This window comes from Homo sapiens, chromosome 11 (assembly GCF_000001405.40).
Source record: "Homo sapiens chromosome 11, GRCh38.p14 Primary Assembly".
Lineage (NCBI taxonomy): Eukaryota > Metazoa > Chordata > Mammalia > Primates > Hominidae > Homo > Homo sapiens.
Genome location: NC_000011.10, coordinates 57797289 through 57821535, shown reverse-complemented (window position 1 = coordinate 57821535; position 24247 = coordinate 57797289). Strand labels below are relative to the sequence as shown.

The 24247-nt window shown below is 41.8% G+C and overlaps 1 protein-coding gene and 1 long non-coding RNA gene across 23 annotated transcripts in view, besides 1 other annotated feature; both read right to left on the bottom strand.

Moving 5' to 3' along the window:
* Positions 1996–24247, bottom strand: part of CTNND1 (catenin delta 1) — a 57739-nt gene continuing 35487 nt past the window's right edge. For 10 of the 22 annotated variants that reach the window (NM_001085461.2, NM_001206891.2, NM_001085467.2 and 7 more), the window contains 13 exons: positions 19340–19803; positions 17732–17915; positions 16756–16873; positions 15501–15654; positions 14553–14621; positions 13244–13371; positions 12996–13146; positions 12070–12262; positions 11313–11427; positions 10050–10137; positions 7163–7225; positions 6036–6142; positions 1996–5239 (listed from right to left, as the gene is read on the bottom strand). In NM_001085461.2, coding sequence (NP_001078930.1) covers positions 5228–5239; positions 6036–6142; positions 7163–7225; positions 10050–10137; positions 11313–11427; positions 12070–12262; positions 12996–13146; positions 13244–13371; positions 14553–14621; positions 15501–15654; positions 16756–16873; positions 17732–17915; positions 19340–19803 — 1846 coding nt within the window. In that variant the 3' untranslated portion in view covers positions 1996–5227. Of the gene's footprint in view, positions 5240–5534; positions 5622–6035; positions 6143–7162; positions 7226–10049; positions 10138–11312; positions 11428–12069; positions 12263–12995; positions 13147–13243; positions 13372–14552; positions 14622–15057; positions 15076–15500; positions 15655–16755; positions 16874–17731; positions 17916–19339; positions 19804–24247 lie in introns of all 22 variants that reach the window. The other 12 variants (NM_001085458.2, NM_001206883.2, NM_001085463.2 and 9 more) reach the window with 4 other exon arrangements.
* The window catches only part of TMX2-CTNND1 (TMX2-CTNND1 readthrough (NMD candidate)), a 106658-nt gene continuing 84766 nt past the window's right edge, over positions 2356–24247 (bottom strand). The window contains 14 exon segments of the long non-coding RNA NR_037646.1: positions 2356–5239; positions 6036–6142; positions 7163–7225; positions 10050–10137; positions 11313–11427; positions 12070–12262; positions 12996–13146; positions 13244–13371; positions 14553–14621; positions 15058–15075; positions 15501–15654; positions 16756–16873; positions 17732–17915; positions 19340–19803. This is a non-coding gene — a long non-coding RNA (TMX2-CTNND1 readthrough (NMD candidate)).
* Positions 20784–21023: an enhancer, noted in NCBI's record as "active region_4733". NCBI's record gives its function as "activates an Ori minimal core promoter by ATAC-STARR-seq in GM12878 lymphoblastoid cells {active_cell/tissue: GM12878}" and the evidence as "EXISTENCE:reporter gene assay evidence [ECO:0000049][PMID:35858748]".

The following is a 24247-nucleotide window of genomic DNA, read 5'->3' as shown; positions in this document are numbered from 1 at the left end:
CTTAGTCCATTCATGGATAGCTATCCATGGTCATTTTACACTGCATAAAAGGAGAAAAATGTCAGGTTAAAATGATGCAGACCAATCAACCTATCTTACCTCCTCCAGCTTTCTCTTCATCCATGTCTGTCTCTAAATCCTGGATGGATCAGTTGAAGAACTAATGCTTTAAGTGACACAGGCAACAGAACAGTCTTAAAGCTGTGTGAAAAAAAATTGTTCCTAACAATTATCTTGTTTCTTTTTTGAGCTTTCCTGAGGTAGCTCTTTCTGGAAGCTACCAGAGTGATTTAAGTTTCCAGATGTGGTCTCCTTGGCTTTAGCCAATGGGGCCACTTGCTCGCCAGTTGAGATACCCTTTGTAGCTAGAAGTGACACTTAAGTCAAAGTCGGCAATTCCAGGGGATTCTCTGTGACCTACAGGACCCCAAATTAAGGGCTAGCTTCCTGCCTCAGCAACCTGAGCATTACCTACATATGATTTTCAGGATGAGAAGCTTCTCCTACCCAGATACCACACACCAACCTATCACTTACCATTATCTCAAACTCTATTGAAAGCAATGCATTCCTTTGAGATAAAGTTTCCTCTATGAATGCTCTCTTAAAATGGTGATCACCACATCATATTGTCTACATTCACCATGCTAGTATTACTGCCAGTGGAGTTGAAGCCAGTAATCCTGGGTTCCACTTTGAGGCTATAACCTTAAGCAAGTCACTAGATCAGTCCCTTAAGTCACAGTTAACTGACCACATACATCAGAATAACCTGGATGGGCCAGGCATGGTGGCTTATGCCTGTAATCCCAGCACTTTGGGAGGCCTAGGTGGATGGATCACCTGAGGTCAGGAGTTCAAGACCAGCCTGGCCAACATGGTGAAACCCCGTCTCTACTAAAAATACAAGTATTAGCTGGATGTGGTGGCGGGTGCCTGTAGTCCCAGCTCATCAAGAGGCTGAGGCAGGAGAATCGCTTTAATCCGGGAGGCAGAGGTTGCACTGAGCTGAGATCGTGGCATTGCACTCCAGCCCGGGTGACAAGAGTGAAATTCCGTCTCAAAAAAAAAAACAAAAACAAAAACAAAAAAAAAGAGGATAACCTGGATGACTTACCATGATTTTAGATTCCTCAGTCCCACCTACTGAATCGATTTTTGGAAATGGAACATGGGACTCTGCATTTTCAACAAGCATACAGGGAATTCTTATGTAACTTGCTCAGATATACAGGGCTAGGTCTAGTCAATTCCATCTATGAAAATATTAAGAACCTTTGCTTCAGATATAAAAATAGACAAAATGAGAAAAAAATGATATGGAAAGACTGGTTCTTAGTTCTTCCTGGGTGAGGTGATTCCAGTTTGTAGCAAAGAAAATTAGTTCAGCAAGAAAAACAAGTGGCCGGCCATGCGCAGTGCCTCACACCTGTAATGCCAGCACTTTGGGAGGCCAAGAAGGGTGGATCACTTGAGGTCAGGAGTTTGAGACCAGCCTGGCCAACATGGTGAAATCCTGTCTCTACTAAAAATACAAAATTAGCCAGGCGTGGTGGTACACACCTGTAATCCCAGCTACTCGGGAGGCTGAGGCAGAAGAATCGCTTGAACCCAGGAGGCTGAGGTTGCAGTGAGCCGAGATTGTGCCCCTGAGTGACAGAGCAAGACTCTGTCTAAAAAAAAAAAAGTGGCCAAGTGAGGTCCCAGCTTTGACCTCTGTCACAAAGTACATCAGTGTCAAGAAACTTGTGAGATAGGGCCTTTACACATCATTCTGTGTAACATCTCATTGTATTTAGATATGGCACAGAGAGAAGTGTTTTTAAGATCATAGATCTTGTCTATGGCCATATCACCCTGAACGCACACGATCTCGTCTGATCATAGATCTTAGCTATAGAGGATTCTCATGGATTGCAATCTATGAGAAAAGATCCATCTGTTTCACTCTCTAATCTAAACCTAACCTTGACACAACGCTTAGCATATAGGAGGTGCTTGGCAAATATTTATTGAATGAGATAAACAAATGGACCAATCCAGAAGGAAGAGAGAAGAGTAGGGTTTGTATCTAGCTCAATGCCAAAGGATAAGAACATAACAGGGAAATAAAGTGTTGCTGACAAGCAGCCAGGCTTTTCTATTTAGATAAAAATCATCTCAAGCAGGGCTATCAAAACTCTTTGGAAAGTAAACTCTTAATAGCTTTTTGGCTTTGTACTTCAACCTCTAATCTAACACTACAATTGTTAGACACAAATCAAGCTTTAAAAGCTAGTTGATTTCCTGGTCTCACTAGCCCATGAAAGTTTTCATACCCAAGTCCTAGTTCAATAAAACAAGACAGGACCATCATCAGGAGCAGCTATATAATTTTAATCTAAAGATTTGGGCATACAGAAAGCATTTCACATAAATTCTCTTGAGTCTTTAATTATATGACAGGACATAAGGACCTCAGAAAAATAAGTATCTTCCCATAGATCTTAACCCTTGATCTCTGCAGCAAAGATAGTCCCTGGTAATCCAGGTAATATGGTCTGTAAAATATTAATAAATAGGCCTATTGACTTCTGACTAAAGGACTGCATATAGCCTGAGAAGCAACATTATGGCCCAGTGGTCAGTACTTATATACATGGGCCTTTTGATCCTACATTTTCCTATTACGTAGTTGGGATTGGTAGTTTCTAATCTTCTAGTCCTAAGTGTTATATTTAAGAGAGCTACGTATTACAGTGGGCCTTATTCAAGGTTAGTTTTGTCAAATGTTGCAGAAGAATTCCAGTAATTAAAGTAAGTCATTAATTCTTTATGCTTCAGTTTCCTATCTCTAAATTAGCAATAAGCTCCCATGTTCAACTTCAGCCACATTCAATTTTTAAGAATCTTCAGAAGAAAAAATGTTTCACATATAGTTAACAAGAATGTTGCTTGATAAAGAGTTGGGGCTGAGCTCAAAATAAATCCTGGTATAACCTCCTTCTGGTTGCTCTGGAAAGGACACTGATACATAAGGAAGTAACAAAGATGCAAAGCAGGGAAGAAATAACAGCTTGAAGTGAAGAAATGACACAGACCCCCCACATACACACTTTAAAAACTTTATTTATATAAAAAACTCATTTGTTTTTAAAAGCATTAACAAGACAGAAAGAAAAGAGAAAAGGTATGGAGCAGAACACAAGCCCCTTAGTAGTGTTCGGTGGGAAGGTGGGATTTTTGGTTCTCTGGAATTGAATGTTTAGTGTTTTTTATAAACAAAAGAGAGAAAAAAAAGTTAAAGGTCCCCAAAAGCCCACGGCTGTTCTATTACCCACACCCCACCGAGAAAAAAGAGCACCAGGAAAAGAGCAGAAGAGGACAAGAGAGATCAAGAGTGGAGCCAGGTCTGGATGGGGCAATTTTCCCTGTGCAGTGTGCTCTTAGGGTCACAGAGAGCAAAAGGCTCCTTTTTGCCAGAAAAGGTAGATGAAAGTGGGAAGAAATGGGAAGGGGGAAAAGGGTAAATAAGAAATTTTAATGCACGAGTAAAGGGGGTGGTGGGTTGTGCACTTTTCTCCTACCCCATAGCCTCAATATATAAGGGAAGGGGAAGAGAGGGATAAGGAACTCCAGTTGCATGGAACAGAGCTTTTAGATTAGATTAAGGGGAGTAGAAGGCAAATAAGGAAAAGGATTAGAAATAATAATAATAATCAACCCGCATAGCAGCTGATTTCTCTAGCCCAACCTGCTAATTAATATATGCTAAAGTGAGAGGGGGCAATACTGGAGGGAGGGGAGAATTGGGGAGACCACTTCCCTGTAACTCCTTCAGAGATGATGGTAAATTCTGGGCACCTAAGGAGTAAGAGTCACACCACTCACTTCTCTTACCAGCCTTACTTTGAGATTCATCAGAATAGGATTTTTGCAAAATCCCACCCATATGCTGTTGAGCAAAAGCTTGCTATGACTGAAATCATGGCTATACCAATCCTCAATGAAGAATCTGAGGTTCTCTCGGTCACTTCTCTTCTTTCTGCTATTTAGGGCCAATAGTAGGTAAGAAAGCAACAAAATATAATTTGCAAAATTATGAGAAATGAGACTGCAGAGGCAAAGAAAGGCACATGGAAGGGCGGGAGGAGATGCACCCCAGGCCAAAGGCACAAAGAAGAGGCAAAGCCAGGGGCAATCCCCACCTTGTAAGGGAAAAGGGACAGGAGTTATGTACATCAAGTCCTTTAGTTTGCCAACCAATCCAGGGCAGAGGCAAGGGACAGGCCTATAAGGATAGGAAAAGGAGAAACGGGGGAGTGGGGAAGCCAGTTTCAGACTAATTGCTTCATGTACATTCCTACTAGCTCCTCCTAGAGGTCTTCTTCTTCCCAAAAACACATCTTTCTGCTCCTTCTCTACCAAAAGTCTTCCTTGACATTCTCCCCTTTCTACAGCCTCTTGGAAATGGCCAGGCCAACTCAGCAGACATATCACAGGGCAGGAGAGGTGGGTTAAGGACAGCCTGTGTTTAAGGGGCAGCAGCAATAGCCCAGGGTTGGCATGAGGCTTGCAGAAGAGATGGAGTCTGTAGGTTCTTGATGGTCCCTGCCTTGGAGATGAGGAGAGCAAGGTTTCTTAATCCCAGTTTTAGGAGACCTTCACTTACTCAAGGGTCCTTTGCCAGGTGGCATGTGCCAATGTTGCTGGCCTTCTTTGCTTCAAAAATAGCCATTAGGAATAAGGGAAGAGCTCACACTTTCCCCTCTCTAAAAGAAAATAAAAGTCCCTTCCCCATCAGGAAAAAAATCTTGATTAAGAATCGTCAGTTTATCAGACTGCTGGACATTGCATATACAGCATGTAACTTCCAATTCTTCCCACGGCTTCTAGTGAAGATTCCTATTCTCTCCATCCCTCCCCTCCACAAAAGGCCAGGAGTTCCAGGGAAAACTGGCAAAAAGAACTAATCTGCAGCAGTTTCTCAAAATATGCAAATAATTGAGTCAGGTTTCTTGGGAGAAAAATGGAGGGAATGGGGGAGGGGGAGGCGTTGAGACAATTAAACTTCACAGGAAGAAGTTGGGAGTTGATGGAAAGAAGGCAGCCACTTAGGGCTGTAAGGGCAGGAGGCAGCCTGGCAGTTGGCACAATAGTCCAGCGAAGAAAAAGGAAAATCATCAGTCAATTTCACCACCAAAAAATAAAAGTACATATAAGCCCAGATGGAACGGAGATAGTGGTGCTAAATCTTCTGCTGTGGAGAAAAAAGAGAAAGAGAGAATGTTAATGGGGTTGGGATTAAGGAGACCCCCCCCAAAAAAGTTGAGCAAATCTGGAGAAAGGAAAGCAGCACATAACGGAGAATCAGATCACCAGCTGCATGTCCCAGACTCGTAAGAGGTAATAATCACAAAAGCAGAACCCCTCGAGCCCCATGTGGCTGAGACTACTTAGTCTCTGGCCTGATCAGATTAGCGTGATTGACAAGTTGCTGGCACTCAGGAGCCTCCTTCCTCAAGAACAATCTTGGGGGTGACTGAAGGACATACCATGGAGGGGTAAGACACTTGGCCCCCCTCATCATCCAAAACCAACACATCCAACTCTTCCTCCAGAGATTCCTGCCCCTCGTCCTGCTGTGAACACATGCAATTTGTTAGTATGAGTAGAGACAGGAACCTCATGAGTGTGTGCCAGAGCTAGGGAAACTCTGAAAATTTGTAAACTCAAACAAAACAAGATATAATAGTAAGAGAAGGGCAAAACATTCATAAACAGGGAGGGAGAGGAAAAAGGTAATGTTTGAAAGTAGATCAGTTAGTGTTAGTCATATCAGTAACACTTTTACAGACATGCTTCCCCCATTTTGACCACTGCAGAATAACGGCCCAAGAAATCCCAACATGAGTCAGAACTCTTACTTTTTCCTGAAAACCCCTACCAGAAAAGGATGCGATCTTTCTCTGTACTTTTTTTTGTGTTTCACAAAACACATAGGCTTCAAAATAGAACTAGCCTTAGACAGATAGCAGTATATAAAGAGAATTTACCATCAAGGGTGTTGTTCCCTTCAATGGCTCCATGTCGCCTAGATCCCCCGATCGATCCAGTGTTCTATTGTGGTCTCCTCTCTCATTTGGTGTGGAATAGTTGTTATCTGGTTAAAAAAAAAAAAGTACACAGAAATATGACATTCCCCTCTAGTGTAAAACGTATATCAAACAGATAGGTGTAATTAGGCATCACTGTTGGGAACTGAGCTTGTCAAATGCTCCACAAAGGCATTAAAGTCTGATGGTCCCCGACTTAAAGAACTTGAATCTGGCTGACCGTGGTGGCTCATGCCTGTAATCCCAGCACTTTGGGAAGCTGAGACGGGCAGATCACTTAAGGCCAGGAGTTCAAGATCAGCCTAGCCAACATGGTGAAACCCCATCTCTACTAAAAATATAAGAATAAGCCAGGTGTGATGGTGTACACTTGTAGTCCCAGCTACTCGGGAGGCTGAGGTATGAGAATCACGCCACTGCACTCCAGCCCAGGTGAACGAGTGAGACTCTGTCTCAAAAAAAGAACTTGAATCTAAGATGGAAGACAATATGTATAAAATACCCAGAATATGACATAATAAAGCTAAACAAGAGGTTTGTCTGAAAAGGTTATGGGAATTAAAAGAAGAGCGAGTGAAATATGCTGCAATCGTTAGGAAGGACCTGACAAGGGAAAACAGGACTTGAGTTAAGCCTTTGGAGATAAAGAGAATTTAGAAAGACAAAAGGGAAGGACATACCAGTAAGAGGTATTACATGAGCAGAATCAAACTATAGAGTGAATAGATAGAATAGCAAGCAGAATAGTTGGGCAGAAACAGATGTATCCATTCACTCCAGAGAAGGAGACTGGGGTAGGAATATAATGGGCTACAAACTTGAATGTGTAGTAATAGGAGAGGCATAGAAAGATTTCTGAAAACCTTTGAGCATGTAGGAATGTAGAAAAAGTAGACGGATCAGATTTTATTAAATTTCCTTACATCCTTCAAAATGGAAATGATCAGCCAATGCTCTCCCAGGATGGTAAATGGTAAGGGTATTAGAAAAAAAACTATAGAGCTAGACAGCTCTCCTTAGCCAGTGAAATATTACTCCACATCCTTAGGCAGGAATTAATCACCTACCTAGTGATTTTGTGTTTGATCCCATATTGCTCATCTGAATTTCTTCCCGATCAGGTTTCTTATCTGTATGAAGTCAGAAAGTTATCCATGTCAAAAACAATTCTTCAAAATCTGTACACATCATGAAAATTGCTCTCTGGTCCTCCTTCCTTCCCTTCATTCACACTTCTACTTAGCACCAACTATGTGCATCACAATGCCTGGATAATTTTTAAGCTTTTTGTAGAGATGAGGTCTCACTATGTTGCTCAGGCTGGTCTGAAACTCCTGGGCTCAAGTGATTCTCCCACCTCAGTCTCCCAAAGTACTGGGATTACAGGTGTGAGCCATCACACCTGGCCCCTACAGACTCTTAAATCAAAAAACAATTCCATCTAAACTAGCAGTTTTCAAATTATTTGGTCTCAAGGCCGTTTTACAGTCTTAAAAATTATAAGGATCTAAAGAACCTTCATTGGTGTGAGTTTTATGTATTAATTGTTACCATACTGACAAGTTTAAAGTATCTATTTCACTTAATGGTAAACTTCTTACATGTTATCATAAATAATCTTTAATAACATCCTTTTCATTTTTGTATATCTCTTTGAAATTTGGCTTAGATTCTCATACCTGCTTCTGCATTCAATCTTTTGTGATATGTTATTGTAGTTAATGTATATCAAGAAAATCCAGCCTCACACAGATAAAAAGTTGGAAAAGAGGATGATTTTAATAGTCTTTTCAGATAATTGTGGTTATTCTTCTTTAATAGTATACTAATTAGTAGTAGTTTCTTAAAGGTTGACAGTAATGTGGAATCTATAATTAACAATCACTTCATATTCTGTTTAGTTAAAATCCATTGGTCCATCTTGCACTTTTAACGGATCAATTACCTATGTACGATTTTGACATATGTATTTGTCACTTGCAAAATACTGCTTCAAGTTATCCAGATATTCAAAATGCTAACACATAGCATTACACAATATTTTGAAATCACATTCGTTAACATCACTGTTTATTTCATTAGAAAAGTCTTTTTTCATTTTAATCATGTATTTTTTGAGACAGGGTCTTGCTCTGTTGCCCAGGCTGGAATGCAGTAGCACAATCACAGCTCACTGCAGCCTTGACCACCTGGGCTCAAGTGATCTCCCTGCCTCAGCCTCCCAAAGTAATTGGGACTACAGGAATGTGCCACCATGCCTGGCTAATTTTTTTGTACAGACATGGTCTCATTATGTTGCTCAGGCTGGTCTCAAACTCCTGGGCTCAAATGATCCTCCTGCCTCAGTCTCCCAAAGTACTGAGATTATAAGCATGAGACACTACACTCAGCCTAGAAAAGTCTTTTCAGTATTGGGAAGTTACCAGGCTCACAGTGGCAAATAAAAGTTTTTCAAAACTACAATTTCCACTTGAAAGCTCAGGCAGCAAACACTGTGTTATTTTCCTCAAAGCAACAAGCTTATCGCATTCGTTTTTGAGAAAATGTCTGCCAAATGCGCACATCTGAATAATCCCTTTGTCTACCACACATTTTTTTCCAAGTAAAAACAGTGTTCCATTAAACAAAGTGGCTAGTGTGGCTGAGCGCCGGATGTAATCCTAACACTTGGCCAAGGCAGGAGGATCGCTTGACCCCAGGAGTTCAAGACCAGCCTGGGTAACATAGGGAGACCCCATCTCAAAATAAATAAATAAACAATTAAAAAGTGGCTAGTCTAACTAGTAACTGAAACAATAACACAAGTACATTTCCTTAAGACAACCATCATGCTTTAATATGCTATTTCATCAGCACAGAATATTAAAAAGATGTATACTCAAGGGTAGAAAAACAATAAAAGTGATTTTTTTTTTCTTTTGATACGGAGTCTCAACTCTGTCGCCCTGGCTGGAATGCAGTGGTGCAATCTCGGCTCACTGCAACCTCCGCCTCCTGGGTTCAAGCGATTCTCCTGCCTCAGCCTCCTGAGTAGCTGGGAATACAGGCGTCTGCCACCACACCCAGCTAATTTTTGTATTTTTAGTAGAGACGGGGTTTCACCATGTTGGCCAGGCTGATCTTGAACTCCTGACCTCAGGTGATCTGCCCGCCTCAGCCTCCCAAAGTGCTAGGATTACAGGCATGAGCTACCACACCTGGCCTGATGTTTTTTCTTCTCCAGTTAAGTGAAAATGGCTCTCTGCTTTTACCTATGTGAGTGGCAATGAAGACTACAATGACTCATTCAGCTTTATGTCACTGCCCTGGTTTGTGCTAAGCCACCAGCAAGAAGCATCACTGCTTTCTGTGCCATCAGTACAAATTGTAACAATCTTGGGACTCTCAGACCACACTTTAAGAACCAATAATCAAGGAAAAAGCCAAGTGTGATTAAGATAATAATGGTCACAATATACACTTTATGTGAAAAAGAAAAAATTTACAAAACAAAATATATAATTCATCTCAGAGGAAAAATGTGTTTACTCACATGATAAAAATGTTTTAAAAGATACAAGTGGTTTTCTCTGGATAAAAGAAACAAGTGATTTTTTGTTATTTTTCTGATTGTTTATATTTTGTAATTTTAAAATAGTAACTATTACAATATTAAGTATTAAATGGAAATTTAAAAGGAGAAAAAATAGACAAAACAGACTAGAGTTCACTTTCCAGTGTTTTAAGTTCACAAGCAATGATAAAGGAATCACATTCAGGCTAATTACCTGTTTTGTTTTGATTTCTAATGCTTAAGACCTACCCATTTCTGCGTTAGGATCCTGGAGTGGAAAATTATTCCCCTCCCACAAAAGGCTAGCTAATTCAGAAATAATATATATCCTATTTCTTAGTAAGCCACCTAGAACAGCAAGAGTGGCTAAAAGGAGAGGGTGTGCCTTCTGGATACTGCACCTGATTTTTGGTTCCGGTCAATGAGAGGGAGAGTACTATCATCATATGAATGACTGCTCTGGCTTCGGGAAGCATTGTTTAGATTCACCTAGAGGCAAACACAAATGCGACAATGTGACAGAATACTGAATTCACCCTATCTTATGCTCTAATGGGCATAAACCTCTAGGTTCCTATTCCCAAATAGAATCATGAAAAAGCAACTTATAAGAGTTGAATAAATACCCTAGACAGTGAGACAAACTAGGATATTATGGCTTCTATTTGTGTTCCAGAACAGGAGATTACAAAGGATCCAAATATTGACACTATCAGAAGAAAATACAGTTTCAGAGAATAGTAAAAATTCCCTCAAAGGGCTACGGTAGATTTGGGCAAAAGTCAAAAAGGCCATCATCCTTCATCATCACCTGCACCTAAAGTATGTTATGACATAGAGGGATACCTGAGCTGTGTCGGCAACAAATGAATTGTAGACACATCATCCTTTTGAGGAGTAAACCAAATCTTTTTTTTTTTCTTTTTTTTTTGAGACAGGGTTTAGCTATGTTGCCCAGGCTGGAGTGCAGCAGTGTGATGTCGGCTCACTGCAACCTCTACCTCCTGGGCTCAAGCAATCCTCCCACCTCAGCCTCCTGAGTTGCTCGGACTACTGGCAAACAACACCACGCCTGGCTACTTTTATTTTTATTTTTGGTAGAGATGGGTTTCGCCATGTTTCCCAGGCTGGTCTCACACTCCTAGGCTCAGGCAATCCACCTGCCTCAGCCTCCCAAAGTGTTGGAATTACAGGTGTGAGCCACCACACCTGGCCAAATAATTCCTAATTAAGAAATATGGGTCAAAAATAGATTTAACATGAGGCCAGGTGTGATGGCTCATGCCTGTAATCCTAGCACTTTGGGAGGCCGAGGCAGGTTGCCTAAGCTCAGAGTTCAAGATTAACCTGGCCAACATGGTGAAACCTCATCTCTGCTAAAAATATAAAAAATTAGCTGGGCATGGTGGCATGTGCCTGTAGTCCCAGCTACTGGGGAGGCTGAGGCACAAGAATCACTTGAACCCGGGAGGCAGAGGTTGCAGTGAGCCGAGATTGCGCCACTTCACTCTAGCCTGGGCAACAGAGTGAGACTCTGTCTCCGAAAAAGAAAAAAAAAATAGGTTTAGCATGATGGTGAAATGGAAGAAACGAAAGAAAACAGAAGCATTATCCTGGGACCAAGAAAAAAAAAGTAAAAGTCTTGGTCTCAAAAGTTACTATACCTGAAAGTCTGATTTCTTCCATCCTTCTTTTTCCAGTGGCTTCCGCAGTTCCTTATATCCCCAGATTGTCTGTAATACAAGTGCTGCTGCTCGAACTTCTTTTTCTGAGCGGTTCCTTTGGAGGAAAGTAACACCATACGGAATTTGGATATAAAATCAGGAAAAAAGCTTAGACCCTATATCCTCTAATAACATAAGAATATAAATGCCAGGGGCAGGGCACAGTGGCTCCTGCCTGTAATCCCAGCACTTTGGGAGGCTGAGGCAGGTGGATCACCTGAGGTCAGGAGATGGAGACCATCTTGGCTAACACGGTGAAACCCCATCTCCACTAAAAGTACAAAAAATTAGCTGGGCATGGTGGCACGCACCTGTAGTCCCAGCTACTCAGGAGGCTGAGCCAGGAGAATCACTTGAACCCGGGAGGTGGAGGTTGCAGAGACTGCGCCACTGCACTCCAGCCTGGGTGACAGAGCGAGACTCTGCCTCAAACAAACAAAAAAGAATATAAATGCCAAAATGGGTTAAATCAAATTTTTACCAAATCCTGTATTCTATCCCAAATAGCGACACAAGAAAAGTTTGACATGAATCTATTATCAATTTATGGATCAACATTAAGACAGATAATAGAGCAATAGCTCTTCACACATTACACGTAAATAAGGGGAAATTTCCTTTCTTAGTAACCAAAAGAGGAAAACAACTCTCCACTCACTCAAATTCTTTTGACTGTAATTTTAGGTGGTAAGCTCACCCTGATTTGTTGATCAACACCAGCTTCTCAATACCCTGTGTCTCTCGAAGCTTTTTGGCAGCCTCCAAGTTCTCAGCGATAACCTCGTTGATAGTGTTCAAAATAGAGATGACAGTGTCCTCAGAGAAATTCCAAGAGGAGTTCTGCTGTCCTCCTGGCAGATTCTTTACCAAGTTAGGAATAGCATGTTTACCTAGTAAGAAAGAATGTATGCAGGGAGAAAAGATCAAGTCAGGTCATGAAGAGCCTTACATTATACTTAACTGCATTAATCATATCAAGTGTAGGTGCTGTCCACATGAATCAACTTCATTATCCTATAGGATTATCATATCAAAAGGGCTAAGGACCTGAAATAGCCATGGATTTACTGTCCTACCTATTCCTTTATTTCTTTTCTACTTCAACCACATTGAAAGTGTAAATACTGTATATTAAATAAGCTACACAGTCCTTTCAGATACTCTAATGAAAATATCTTGAATATTATAATAATTTAATAGAAGAGTTATTATGAATTTAAAATATAAATAAATAACTGGGTTCTGCTACTAACTAGCTACATTAACTCTGGGCAATTTACTTAACTTCCATGAGTTATTTCCTTATCCTATTTAAAAAAATGGACCTTTGTAAAGTGGTGAGGATTAAATGGAAACACAGAAGTGTTTAACAACGCTTAGTAACAAAGTAAGTGCTCAATAAATAATAGCAATTATTATTTTATTTTTGAAGAGTTGTCACTTGTTTTCTTTCCAAGAACCATTAAACTAAAACCCTTACCAACTCTCGCATTCATAAACTATGAAGCGGGGGAGGGTCCTTCCCTTCAGTCATTTCAATAAATTCAATAAATTATTAGGCACCTGCTGGACTACAAACACTGTACTAAATTTTGAGGTAACAGTTAGCATTCAACTCCTCACCAATTAATTCTTTGTTGCGAGCATCCACAGCCAGGTTTCTCAGTGCTCCAGATGCAGCTTTCACCACCCGTTCATGTTCATTAGTCAGGAGGTCAGCTATGGCAGAAAGAGCCTTCTCTTGACGCAGAGCAGAGCGGATGTATCGACCATACTAGAATAGCAAATAGAAAGGGGTGGAACAAATTACAAATGGCAGCAAACTAGTTATCTAAGTTTTCCCATCTCCAAATCCCTTTTCTAAAAGGTACCGTCCAGCGCCCAGCACACAAGTTCTGGATAGCTCCAGCTGAGGCTTCTAGGATGGCAGGAGTCTTGCTCTCCTTAAGAAGTGAGATGTATATCCGAACCACCTCTGGCTGAAATAAGAGCTCATAGCCTGCACAAAAGAGAAATAGAAGCAGAGGGTGCTAATCAGTACCAATAAACCAGGCTCTAGCTGGCTGGAGTCCAGCCTTAGTACTCTCAGTTGATGGATTTATGCTTCTATACCATCAGGTTCCCTAAACTCTCTCACACTCTCTACAGCAAACTTAGAGGCCAAATTCCATGTCTTAAGAATAATGAATCCATGGTAAGAGTAGAACAAATATCAACTCATTATACTCAACTCCTCTCTTTCCTTCCTTCTTGCCTCCTCTCCCATAGCTTTGCCTTTGGTTCTACCATGAGCGCTCAGGGGCTCCATTTAGCTCATTGACAGCACTCAAGGTTAAAAATTCCTCATCTCAAATCAATTATTTCTAACTTAACCCAGTCATTCTTCCCACCTCTGCGATTACTACAAGGGTCCATTATAGATTAAACGTTTACAATTTTTATATCCATGGAGAGCTGTGAACTTTGGACTCACTGTATTGATGAATATAAAGATCCAAATTTCTTTTAGTAAAGTACAAAAAGTATCTTTTCTTTTTTTTTTTTTTTTTTTTTTTTTTGAGACGGAGTTTCTATCTGTCGCCCAGGCTGGAGTGCAGTGGCGCGATCTTGGCTCACTGCAACCTCCGCTTCCCAGATTCAAGCAATTCTCCTGCCTCAGCCTCCAGAGTAGCTGGGATTACAGGCACCCACCATCATGCCCAGCTAATTTTTGCATTTTTAGTAGAGACAGGGTTTCACCATGTTGGCCAGGCTGGTCTCAAACTCCTGATCTCAGGTGATCTGCCCGCCTCGGCCTCCCAAAGTGCTGGGATTGCAGGCATGAGCCACTGTGCCCAGCCTAAAAAGTATCTTTCTTGGTAAAGAAGCCTCTTTTAATAGTGAGGTTTAAGTCTCAGGCACTACAGTGGCCATTTATGGTTCCTAAATTTCTGCTCTATACTACCATCAGGACCTTATTCTATCCTCAAGTAACCTGAATAACTGCCTTAACAAGCAGTCCTTTTTAAGTTACTGCTATAATACTATGCAGCTTCCCAATACTTTCACAATCATTTCAAATCTGTAAGTTGGAAAAGAGAGGACAATAAACGTATTACATAAAGTCTGCTGTTAGGTTACTAAATATCTTATCTTTGTACTATGTTTATGAGACCTTTGGAGACTGAGAAGATAACTTACCTCGAGCTGGACTCGTTCTTTTAGGGAAATCCACTGTATCGTTTGCTGGATCCTCTATAGGTTTTTTCCCTACAAAAATGAAAAAGGGCGGGAAAAGGGGTAAGCCAGTTTAAAAAAGAAAAGATTCCACCTGGCACATTTTTCATCCTTCAGTCAGAACCTTTTGATCACAGATGCACCACGAGGGGAAAAGGGGCAGGTGAGGGCAACTTGTTCCAGCAGGGGACTATTCAGAAACAAGGATAGAAAACAGGCAGCAGATAGGTAAGATGAGGATGACCACTGTTGATGCTATTGTCCTGAGTTCTGATAATGGGGACTGCTGCCCAGAAACAGCATGCCGTGAGCTATTAGCTCCAAAGAGCTAAACTTGTTTCAGTGTCTTCCTCAACTGAACTTTCCTACATGCATAGACAGGGAAAGGTTAGGCAAGGACATACTAGGGAAGCTAAAATCAAAACATGCAAATTAGAAGTAGATAAGCACCTTAAAAGACTCCACTCACCTCTGGAGAACCACTCATCTTCCAGTGCATCACCCAAGGTAGAAAGCAGAGAAGAGAAATGAAATAAGAAAAATGCAGGAGAAAGATGTCAGCAGAATCATGGGCAAATAAGCAGGGAAGCACAGAGAAGAAAAGAAAAACACAGAAAATGCAAAGGACGTATGGGGAAGAAGGTCCCAGATTAGTTGAGTTCTCATTTTCCACTGCCCCACTCATTGATACCACCACCACCACCACCACCACCACCACCAACACATCACAACCACCATCCCATCACCACACCTTGAATGAAGCACACAACACAGGGAAAGCAGCAAACCAAAAAGACATCCATAACCAGGCAGACTCCCATACTGTTGCCAAGTATTTTGTACCTTAAGCTAAAGTGTTCCTTCCTTTCCCTATCCCACATTAAAGACTAAGAAACAGGAACCAAGACTCACCTTTGCCCTTCTTGGCCCCAAAGCAACTGGCAGCATGTGGCCCAGTATTGTTGGCAACATTGGGAGCTGCCTCTTGGTAACGCTCTGCCTGTGGGATCTCCCGGTGAACTTGATATGATAAGTTCCGAAGAAGGCAAACACAGTTCTCTACAAGCTTAGGGACATAAAAGGGCCAATGAGAAAAAAGAATGTCTATTGTGATTTCTCCACAAGTACAGGTTTCCATGACTCAGGTATTAAAATGTTGATCTTCAAATGCATAACCCAATCCATAACTTCTCAGGATGCCTCTTAAGTGCTCCAGGCTTCTTGAAATCCCGGTAGCCTCAGGCTAATGGAAGGTCCAACTATGGACTTATTGGCTTCTGCCACTATTTGGTGTGTGACTGAAATTGGATCATCATTCTTACTACTTAGACAATGTACAATTTTGGAAGACAGCTAAGCAGCTTTAAAATACATAGGTGACAGATTTAAAAAAAAAAGAAAAAAAAGCCGGGCACAGTGGCTCACACCTGTAATCCCAGCACTTTGGGAGGCCGAGGCGGGTGGATCACCTGAGGTCGGGAGTTCAAAACCAGCCTGACCAACCTGGTGAAACCCTGTCTCTACTAAAACACAAAAATTAGCCGGGCATGGTGGCAGGTGCCTGTAATCCCAGCTACTCAGGAGATGAGGCAGAGAATTGCTTGAACCCAGGAGGGAGAGGTCGCAATGAGCCGAGATCACGGGACTGTACTCCAGCCTGGGACAGAGCCAGACTCCATCTCAAAAAAACAAACAAACAAACAAAAAACATGTTTTAAGTTGAATACCCACTTTAAGGAGTAAGGGCTTGGCTGGGCACAGTGGCTCACGCCTGTAATCCCAATGCTTTGGGAGGCTGAGGCAGGGGGATCACGTGAGGTCAAGAGTTTGAGACCAGCCAGGCCAACATGGTGAAACCCCGTCTCTACTAAAAATACAAAAATTAGCTGGGTGTGGTGGCACACGCCTGTAATCCCATCTACTTGGGAGGCTGAGGCATGAGAATCGCTTGAACCCAGGAAGCAGAAGTTGCAGTGAGCTGAGATCACATCACTGCACCCCAGGCTGGGCAACAGAGCAAGACTCTGTCTCAAAAATAAGGGGTAGGGGACAGTATAAATATTTAATGTTACTTGAAAGCCTGAGATGATAGGTCTCTGACCTACAGATACTTCATAGTTGTGGTGAATGAAATTCACTCAGCCATTAAAGGTAAGACAGCACTTACCTTGCTGTCTGAATCCTTCTGCCCAATCTCAGCCTGAACAATGAAAATGAGGGCATCAACTAAACCATCACATTCCCGAAGTTTCCGGCGAGCTTCACTCCTCTCTGAGCTTACATTCCTGAGGGGAAACCAGAAGCTTCAAGATGACTCAAATCCAGAAATCCTCCCTTAAATATCCCTCAACACCTACAAGATTCCTGAATATGTTTTTCTACTCACTGTAATAGTAAATACCTATTATAAGCAAGGTACTGCAGTTGAGAGAAAGTTGATTAACAGTCCCTGCCTTCTGAATGTTTATATCACTGTGGGGTAGGGATTAATGATATGTACCAGATGCAGTAATTCAAGATGGAATATATACTTCTCGTATGGAAGTATATAATACATATGTAGAATGGAACACAGCACACAGAGGTGTATTCCAAAGAGAGAAAGATTATATAGCAGCATTTATAGGATATAAAAAGAATTCAGGAAAACTTTAATAAAATAAAGGCACTTGAGTTTAACCACAAAAAGATAAATAAGAAGAGAAAGGCATCACAGAAAGAACAGACCTTCCTCACCCATGCCCTAACCTCCTAGTACTCTGTACCCCTTTTGCTGAATTTATCACAGCCTGACTTGAAATACAAATAACTAGGGCAAGGACATAGACACACACAAGTCCAGGACTAGACCACCTTACATGTGGTAGATGCTGAACAAAAGCTTACCAAAGTAGATGAACAAAGTCAAAGAGGCATAAAAGTGAAGAGGATGTGTGGGGAACAGCAAGAAAACTGATATAGGTACATGTGGTATACATGAGAGAATAGCAACAAAGATAGAAAGGTTGGAGTTACAGTATGCAATACAGATAGGAATGGAGGCTAAAGAATAGGCTAAAGAATTTTAATTTTTTTTTTTTTTTAGGAAATTTAAGTCAGTCCTCAAAAATTCATCTTCATATTCTCAAAGTCCCTACTGTTACCTAAGGCAGCCAGCTGTGTTGGTGAGCACCGATTCCCACTCAATGTGGCGTGGCTTACAGTCTTCATTAGGTTCCCGCTCCCAACCAGAATGAGGAATGATCACTTCATCTGTCAAGGCATGCAGTGCATGGTCCACAATCTCCATTTTGATTGAGTCATGGGATGAAAGATTCCACAGGGTTCCTGGAAGAGACAATTCATCAGATGGCTCTTGAGCATTCAAGACAATATGTCTGAAGAACGTCAAAGAGAATCCCCCTATCGTATCACTTCTCAGTCTTCCCCAGTGACCAAATACCTTATAGTAATATTCAAGCTTTGTTTGCGACCCTCACCAAGAAACATATTCTACATTATAGCTCAAAATAAACATACAGATCATGAAACAAACAATGTTTAACTATAAGCAACGCTCAGGCTGGGTGTGGTGGCTCACGCCTGTAATCCCAGCAATTTGGGAGGCCAAGGCGGGCGGATCACAAGGTTGGGAGATCAAGACCATCCTGGCTAACACTAAAAATACAAAAAATTAGCCGGGCGTGGTGGCGGGCACCTGTAGTCCCAGCTACTTGGGAGGCTGAGGCAGGAGAATGGCGTGAACCCATGAGGCGGAGCTTGCGGTGAGCTGAGATTGTGCCACTGCACTCCAGCCTGGGTGACAGAGCGAGACTCCATCTCAAAAAAAACAAACAAAACTATAAGCAATGCTCAATGCTCTCCGATCTGTCTATACCAGAGTTTTTCAACCTCAGCACCACTGACATTTTCGGCCAGATGATTCTTTGTTATGAGGAGCTGTCTTGTCTATTGTTGGATGTTTACCAGTACCCCTGGCCTTTACTCACTAGATGCCAGTAGCACTCCCTCTCCCCTGTTCCAAGTTATAACAACCAAAAATATCTCCAACACTGCAAATGTCCAAATGTCCTCAGGGCAGGGCAGGCAAAATGGCCCACAACTGAGAAACAATGGTCTATACTACTTTTTCTTTATTCCTTTCCCTTGGAATGCTGATTATGCTCCACAAAATTTTGTTTTATTCACTAACGGATCACACAAATAGATCACAACCCACAATCTGAAAAACTACTGCTCTAAATAAAGCAAGAACCACAAGCTTAAATGTCTATATGGGTCAAGCCGGTGAGTCAAGAGAGGAAGATAATTAAAAGAAATTACAAGCATGTGAAAAAATAGCAGTTGACAGCTCCATGTTTGGGAAACAACTTCCTAAACAGCTGTAGTTGGTCAGATAATAGAATGTGTTGGAGATTAGTGTAAATTAGAGAGCACATGCTCCAATCAGTTCAGACCAAATACTGCTAAGGAAGAAAAGAGATCCATTGTTAACAACTCTTCCACGTTTTTAATAGAAGCCAAGAATCTGGAATTTTAAGTGAAATCTTCTGAATTTTAAACATCAGCAACCAGTTCTTTAAAATTTCAATAATGCTGTGTGATCCAAACAAATCTGTGAGATGGATTTGACCCACAGCCACCAGTTCACAACCTTTCATCAAAAGTAAAAGGTCTGGAAATCCCTCTAGTTCTCAACATCACTAGAGAGTAACACTGACTTAGCAATTTTCCTTAGGCCTAGAACTCACCGGTAATAACTTCAGTAAGGTCCATATCACGAGCCTTTCGAAGCAATCGCACAAGGGCAGGCACACCATCACAGTTTTTTATGGCAATCTTGTTATCCTGGTCACGTCCAAAAGAGATATTCTTGAGAGCTCCACAGGCTCCAAGGTGCACTTCCTTTTTGGGATGGTCTAACAATCCCACCAGTACTGGGATGCCCTTGAGCTTCCGCACGTCAGTCTTCACCTTGTCATTGCGGTAGCATAAGTGTTGCAGGTATGCAGCTGCATTGGACTTGACAGCATCCAAGCGGAATCCAAGCATGGCGATCACCTCTGGCAGCTCTGGCTGTCTCCAATTAGGAGGTGGAGGCCCTCCTTTGCGCAGGCTATCCAAGCTTGCTAAACTTCCTCGCTCATGCTGGGCCAAAGGAGCCCAGTAGTATTGATCCGATGGCACCTCCTCACCAATCATGTCTTCATAGCTCCTGAGAAGTTTTGGAAGAACCAAGAGAATACATCAAGTCATTATGGCTAGCTTCCTGGACATTCCCATTACCCTCATCTGCAAAGGAGGATTAACTGGAGTTTCAGTGTGCTCATCTTATCTCTCCTTTGCATGAATAATATACTGATCAATTTTCCTCAATGGGTTAGTAAAAATAAAAGGTAATAATTTTAAAAACACCTGCAATTTAATTAAAACTACATTTTTTTCTTTGAAGTCTGCAGGCTTAGAAAGTAACAAGCATTCAGGAAAGGCTAATCAAAAAGAAAGAACCAAATCCTTACTACTTATCATTTATTTGAATGATATCTGACAGTTATTAACTTGTCTAGGTAGAGATCAGGATAAACTCTCAGAGAACAGAATTAACCAAAGCAACTGACTCAATGCCACAGAAGTCTGAGAACAGTTCCTTAACCAAACAGGAAATTAGGCATTTACACACAGGAAACAACTGGTAGGATAAGACCTTTAAATACATTTCATATTTAAGCTTCTCCTTATCCTATTTTGGAAATTATAAAAGATGGATTGATAGAGAAAAACTAATAAAGGGCTTCCTGCTACATCACAGGAGGATCTGGCTTTGGTACTGATGAGGTATAAACTTGAAAAGTAATTTTCACAGTCATTCCAAGGTCATGTCTGCTACTCAACAAATGTGTTAAGAGGTAAGATTCCATCCTCCAATTTCTAAAGACAATACCTCCAGCTCTTTCAAAATGAAGCCTATTCACCAACATCACATTTGGGAAGCCCAGCCACTAGGAACAGAGAAAGCAATTGAAAGTAAGAAAAATCAAACCAGGAGACAATTCTTCCTGTTTCAGTACTACCAACAACCACTAGAGGGTGAGTCTGTCACACTATTATTTATTCGTAACTACCAGGAAGGAAGAAACCCATTATCTGTGAGCTCATCTCTTTCTGGCTCCCACAGGAGAGGATAATCTATTGTGTGGAGCTCTCCAAATAAGCCATTGTTTGTTCTACAAAACCACTCCCACTGTCAACAAATACTCAAGGTTGCCCTGAGCAGAAGGCCTGCCTCACAGGTATCAACATCAACTATGCAACAGTGATTCAGATGGACAAAGCATTTAGTAAACCATGACCAAGATGGTCTTAAAATAACACGGAAACAGGACCAGGCATGGTGGCTCACATCTGTAATCCCAGCACTTTGGGAGGCTGCAGTGGGCGGATTACCTGAGGTCAGAAGTTCGAGACCAGCATGGCCAACATGGAAAAACACCATCTCTACTAAAAATACAAAAATTAGCTGGGCATGGTGGTGGGCACCTGTAATCCCAGCTACTTGGGAGGCGGAGGCAAGAGAATCGCTTGAACCCAAGAGGTGGAGGTTGCAGTGAACTGAGATTGTGCCACTGCACTCCAGCCTAAGTGACAGAGCGAGACTCTATTTCGAAGAAAAAAAAAAAAAGGTCAAGATTAAACCCTTCAAATCAAGAAGGGGGTACTAAAAATGCCCAAACAGCTGGTAAAACAAAATTGGTTGTCTTCTAAACTATTATGTATCACTTTTGCATCCACCCCAACCATAAAAATTTTCTGCTTACTATAAAATTAAGGAAAAGTATTTACTAACATTATAAAATACCATGCATGGAACAAAAAGCCTCCTGGGTATAATACCAGATCGCACCACTGCTCTCCAGCCTGGGTGACAGAGCAAGACTCCATCTCAAAAAAAAAAAAAAAAAAAAAAAAAACACGGAAACAAAATGAATAGCTTAGATAGCTTAAAAGTAGGCTATTAAGCAGTATGTTAAGATTCCATTTTAGTAGAGGGAAAATAGGATATAGTTACATGTATAATTAAAAAAACTCAAAGGATATGCACCAAAATGTTAACAGTGGTTCTTTATCAATAGATGGTAATGCTTTTCTGGGTTTTTCAGGCTCTGTATTGAACATGTTTAACCTCTATTATTAATATACAAAATTATAAGAACAATTACCATAACCAAAATTTCCAGATAACTCTATCCTATATCCTTTTCTATACAAAGGCAGTGGATTGGACATTCTTTCCTTTGTTTTACAAGAAACAAAGCTGTGCCTGGGAAGACCAAATGACTTGCTTGAGGCTACTTAGCTAGTGGCAAAGGCACAACTAGAACCAAGGTCTCAGGGTTCAGTGCTTTTTCCACTAATCACTGCCTCACTGTTTAAGTTTGACCTTGTATTACTCTTCTAGCCTGGAACAGGAAGCAGCAAATATGCTTGCTAGTCAAGCAGGTTTCCAAGTCCAGTGCTACCCTGGAACAAACCCAAGAACCAGGCCCAAAACTCTATGTGAACTAGCACAACTAGGGATGGCAGAGAATGACCTGGCCACCCACACCCATCTGGGTCCAATCACTCTTTACTAATGAGGAAGTCAGAAAAAGCAGACTTGCAGTAGAGCCAACACCCTGGACAGACTGCTTCAATGAAGGCTGTTATCTACCACTGCTCTAGGTTGCACCAGCCGAGGTCTGGTGCTCCTGTAGGAATAAAAATGAGTCACATGGGAGTTGGATTAGCTATCCAAGACACCTGAAAGGTGAGTGACTCAGTCTTAGATAATGGGGCCTCTACCCCTGGGCCCAGCCCTGTTCACTCTTAACCAAAGCTACCTAATATATGAGGAAAATGAGCACCAAGGCATTTGCTTTAAAAGGTCATGACCCCATATAGAGAAATTCAGCAACAGCTGCTAGGATATCCTTACCATCAAGACAACCATAAATCATCCCTTGTTTCTTATCATTTCTCTTTACCTGGAAAACACTGTTTCTAATTTATTCTGAAGCAGCATTGGCAGCCCATGGGCCAAACCTGTTTTTGTACATCCCCATAATGCTATTTTTAAAAGATTGTTTGAAAAAAAGAACAACATACGACAAAGATGATACATGGCCTGCAAAGCCTAAAATAGTTCTACGTGGTCATTTTCAGGGGTCTGTCGACCCCATTCTAAAGCATTCTCTCAATGCAACAAGGCAAACCATGTACCAGTCCAAACATCAATCACTCCTTTTTTCACATCACCAAAGAATCTCCAGGAACAAGTAGTAAAGTCAGAGTAGGCAGCTGCTTAGTGACCTTTCAGAGTGTTGCTAATGTATCCCCCGACCCCCACCCAAGGATGCCACCACAATTTCACTTTACAATCAAATAATAAGACCCTAAGCATAGAATGTCAAGGCCCTTGTGAGGTCAAAGTTTGTTTTTAACTTTGGGATTAAAAACACAAGAAAGTTCTTATACACGTCCTCAACTGTCTCTTTTGGTTCTGAATTCCTAAAACCCTCAACTATGTTTTGTTTTGGGGTTTTTTTGGCTTTTTTTTTTTTTTTTTTGAGACAGTCTCACTATGTCACCCAGGCTGGAGTGCAGTGGCGGGATCTCGGCTCACTACAGCCTCTGCCACCCGGGTTCAAGTGATTCTCCTGCCTCAGCCTCCTGAGTAGCTGAGACTACAGGCACGAGCCACAACACCCGGCTAATTTTTGTATTTTTAGTAGAGACAGGGTTTCACCGTGTTAGCCAGGATGATCTCGATCTCCTGACCTCGTGATCCGCCCAACTCGGCCTCCCAAAGTGCTGGGATTACAAGCGTGAGACACCGTGCCCAATGGACTCTGTTCTTAATACCAAATCAGAAACTAAAGAAATTCCCAGGAAGAAGTGAGCAAGAATTCCATGGCCCCAGACATCAGAATCCTCTGCCTAACACACCAAAAGGGGGTCACATCTTAGCCAGAAACAGCAAAAACTTCAGCATAGAAGCAGAAGCAAAGTTCATTCTTCAGGACACAGACTAATAACAATCACAAGTTGTTTTTTTTTTTTTTTTTTTTTGAGGTGGAGTTTCGCTCTTGTTGCCCAGGCTGGAGTGCAATGGCATGATCTTGGCTCACCACAACCTCTGCCTCCCGGGTTCATATGATTCTCCTGCCTCAGCCTCCCGAGTAGCTGAGATTACAGGCATGCACCACTACGCCCAGCTAATTTTGTATTTTTAGTAGAGGCGGGGTTTCTCCATGTTGGTCAGGCTGGTCTTGAACTCCGGACCTCAGGTGATCCACCCACCTCAGTCTCCAAAAGCGCTGGGATTACAGGCGTGAGCCACCGCGCCTGGCCCATATATTCAATTATAGAAAACAACTTGTGGACCAGGCGCGGTGGCTCACGCCTGTAATCCCAGCACTTTTGGAGGCCAAGGCGGGTGGATCACCAGAGGTCGGGAGTTTGAGACCAGCCTGGCCAACATGGTGAAACCCCATCTCTACTAAAAATATAAAAATTAGCCAGGCGTGATGGTGCTTGCCTGTAGTCCCAACTACTAGGGAGGCTGAGGCATGAGAATCACTTGAACCCAGGAGGCGGAGGTGGCAGTGAGCCAAGATGGCACC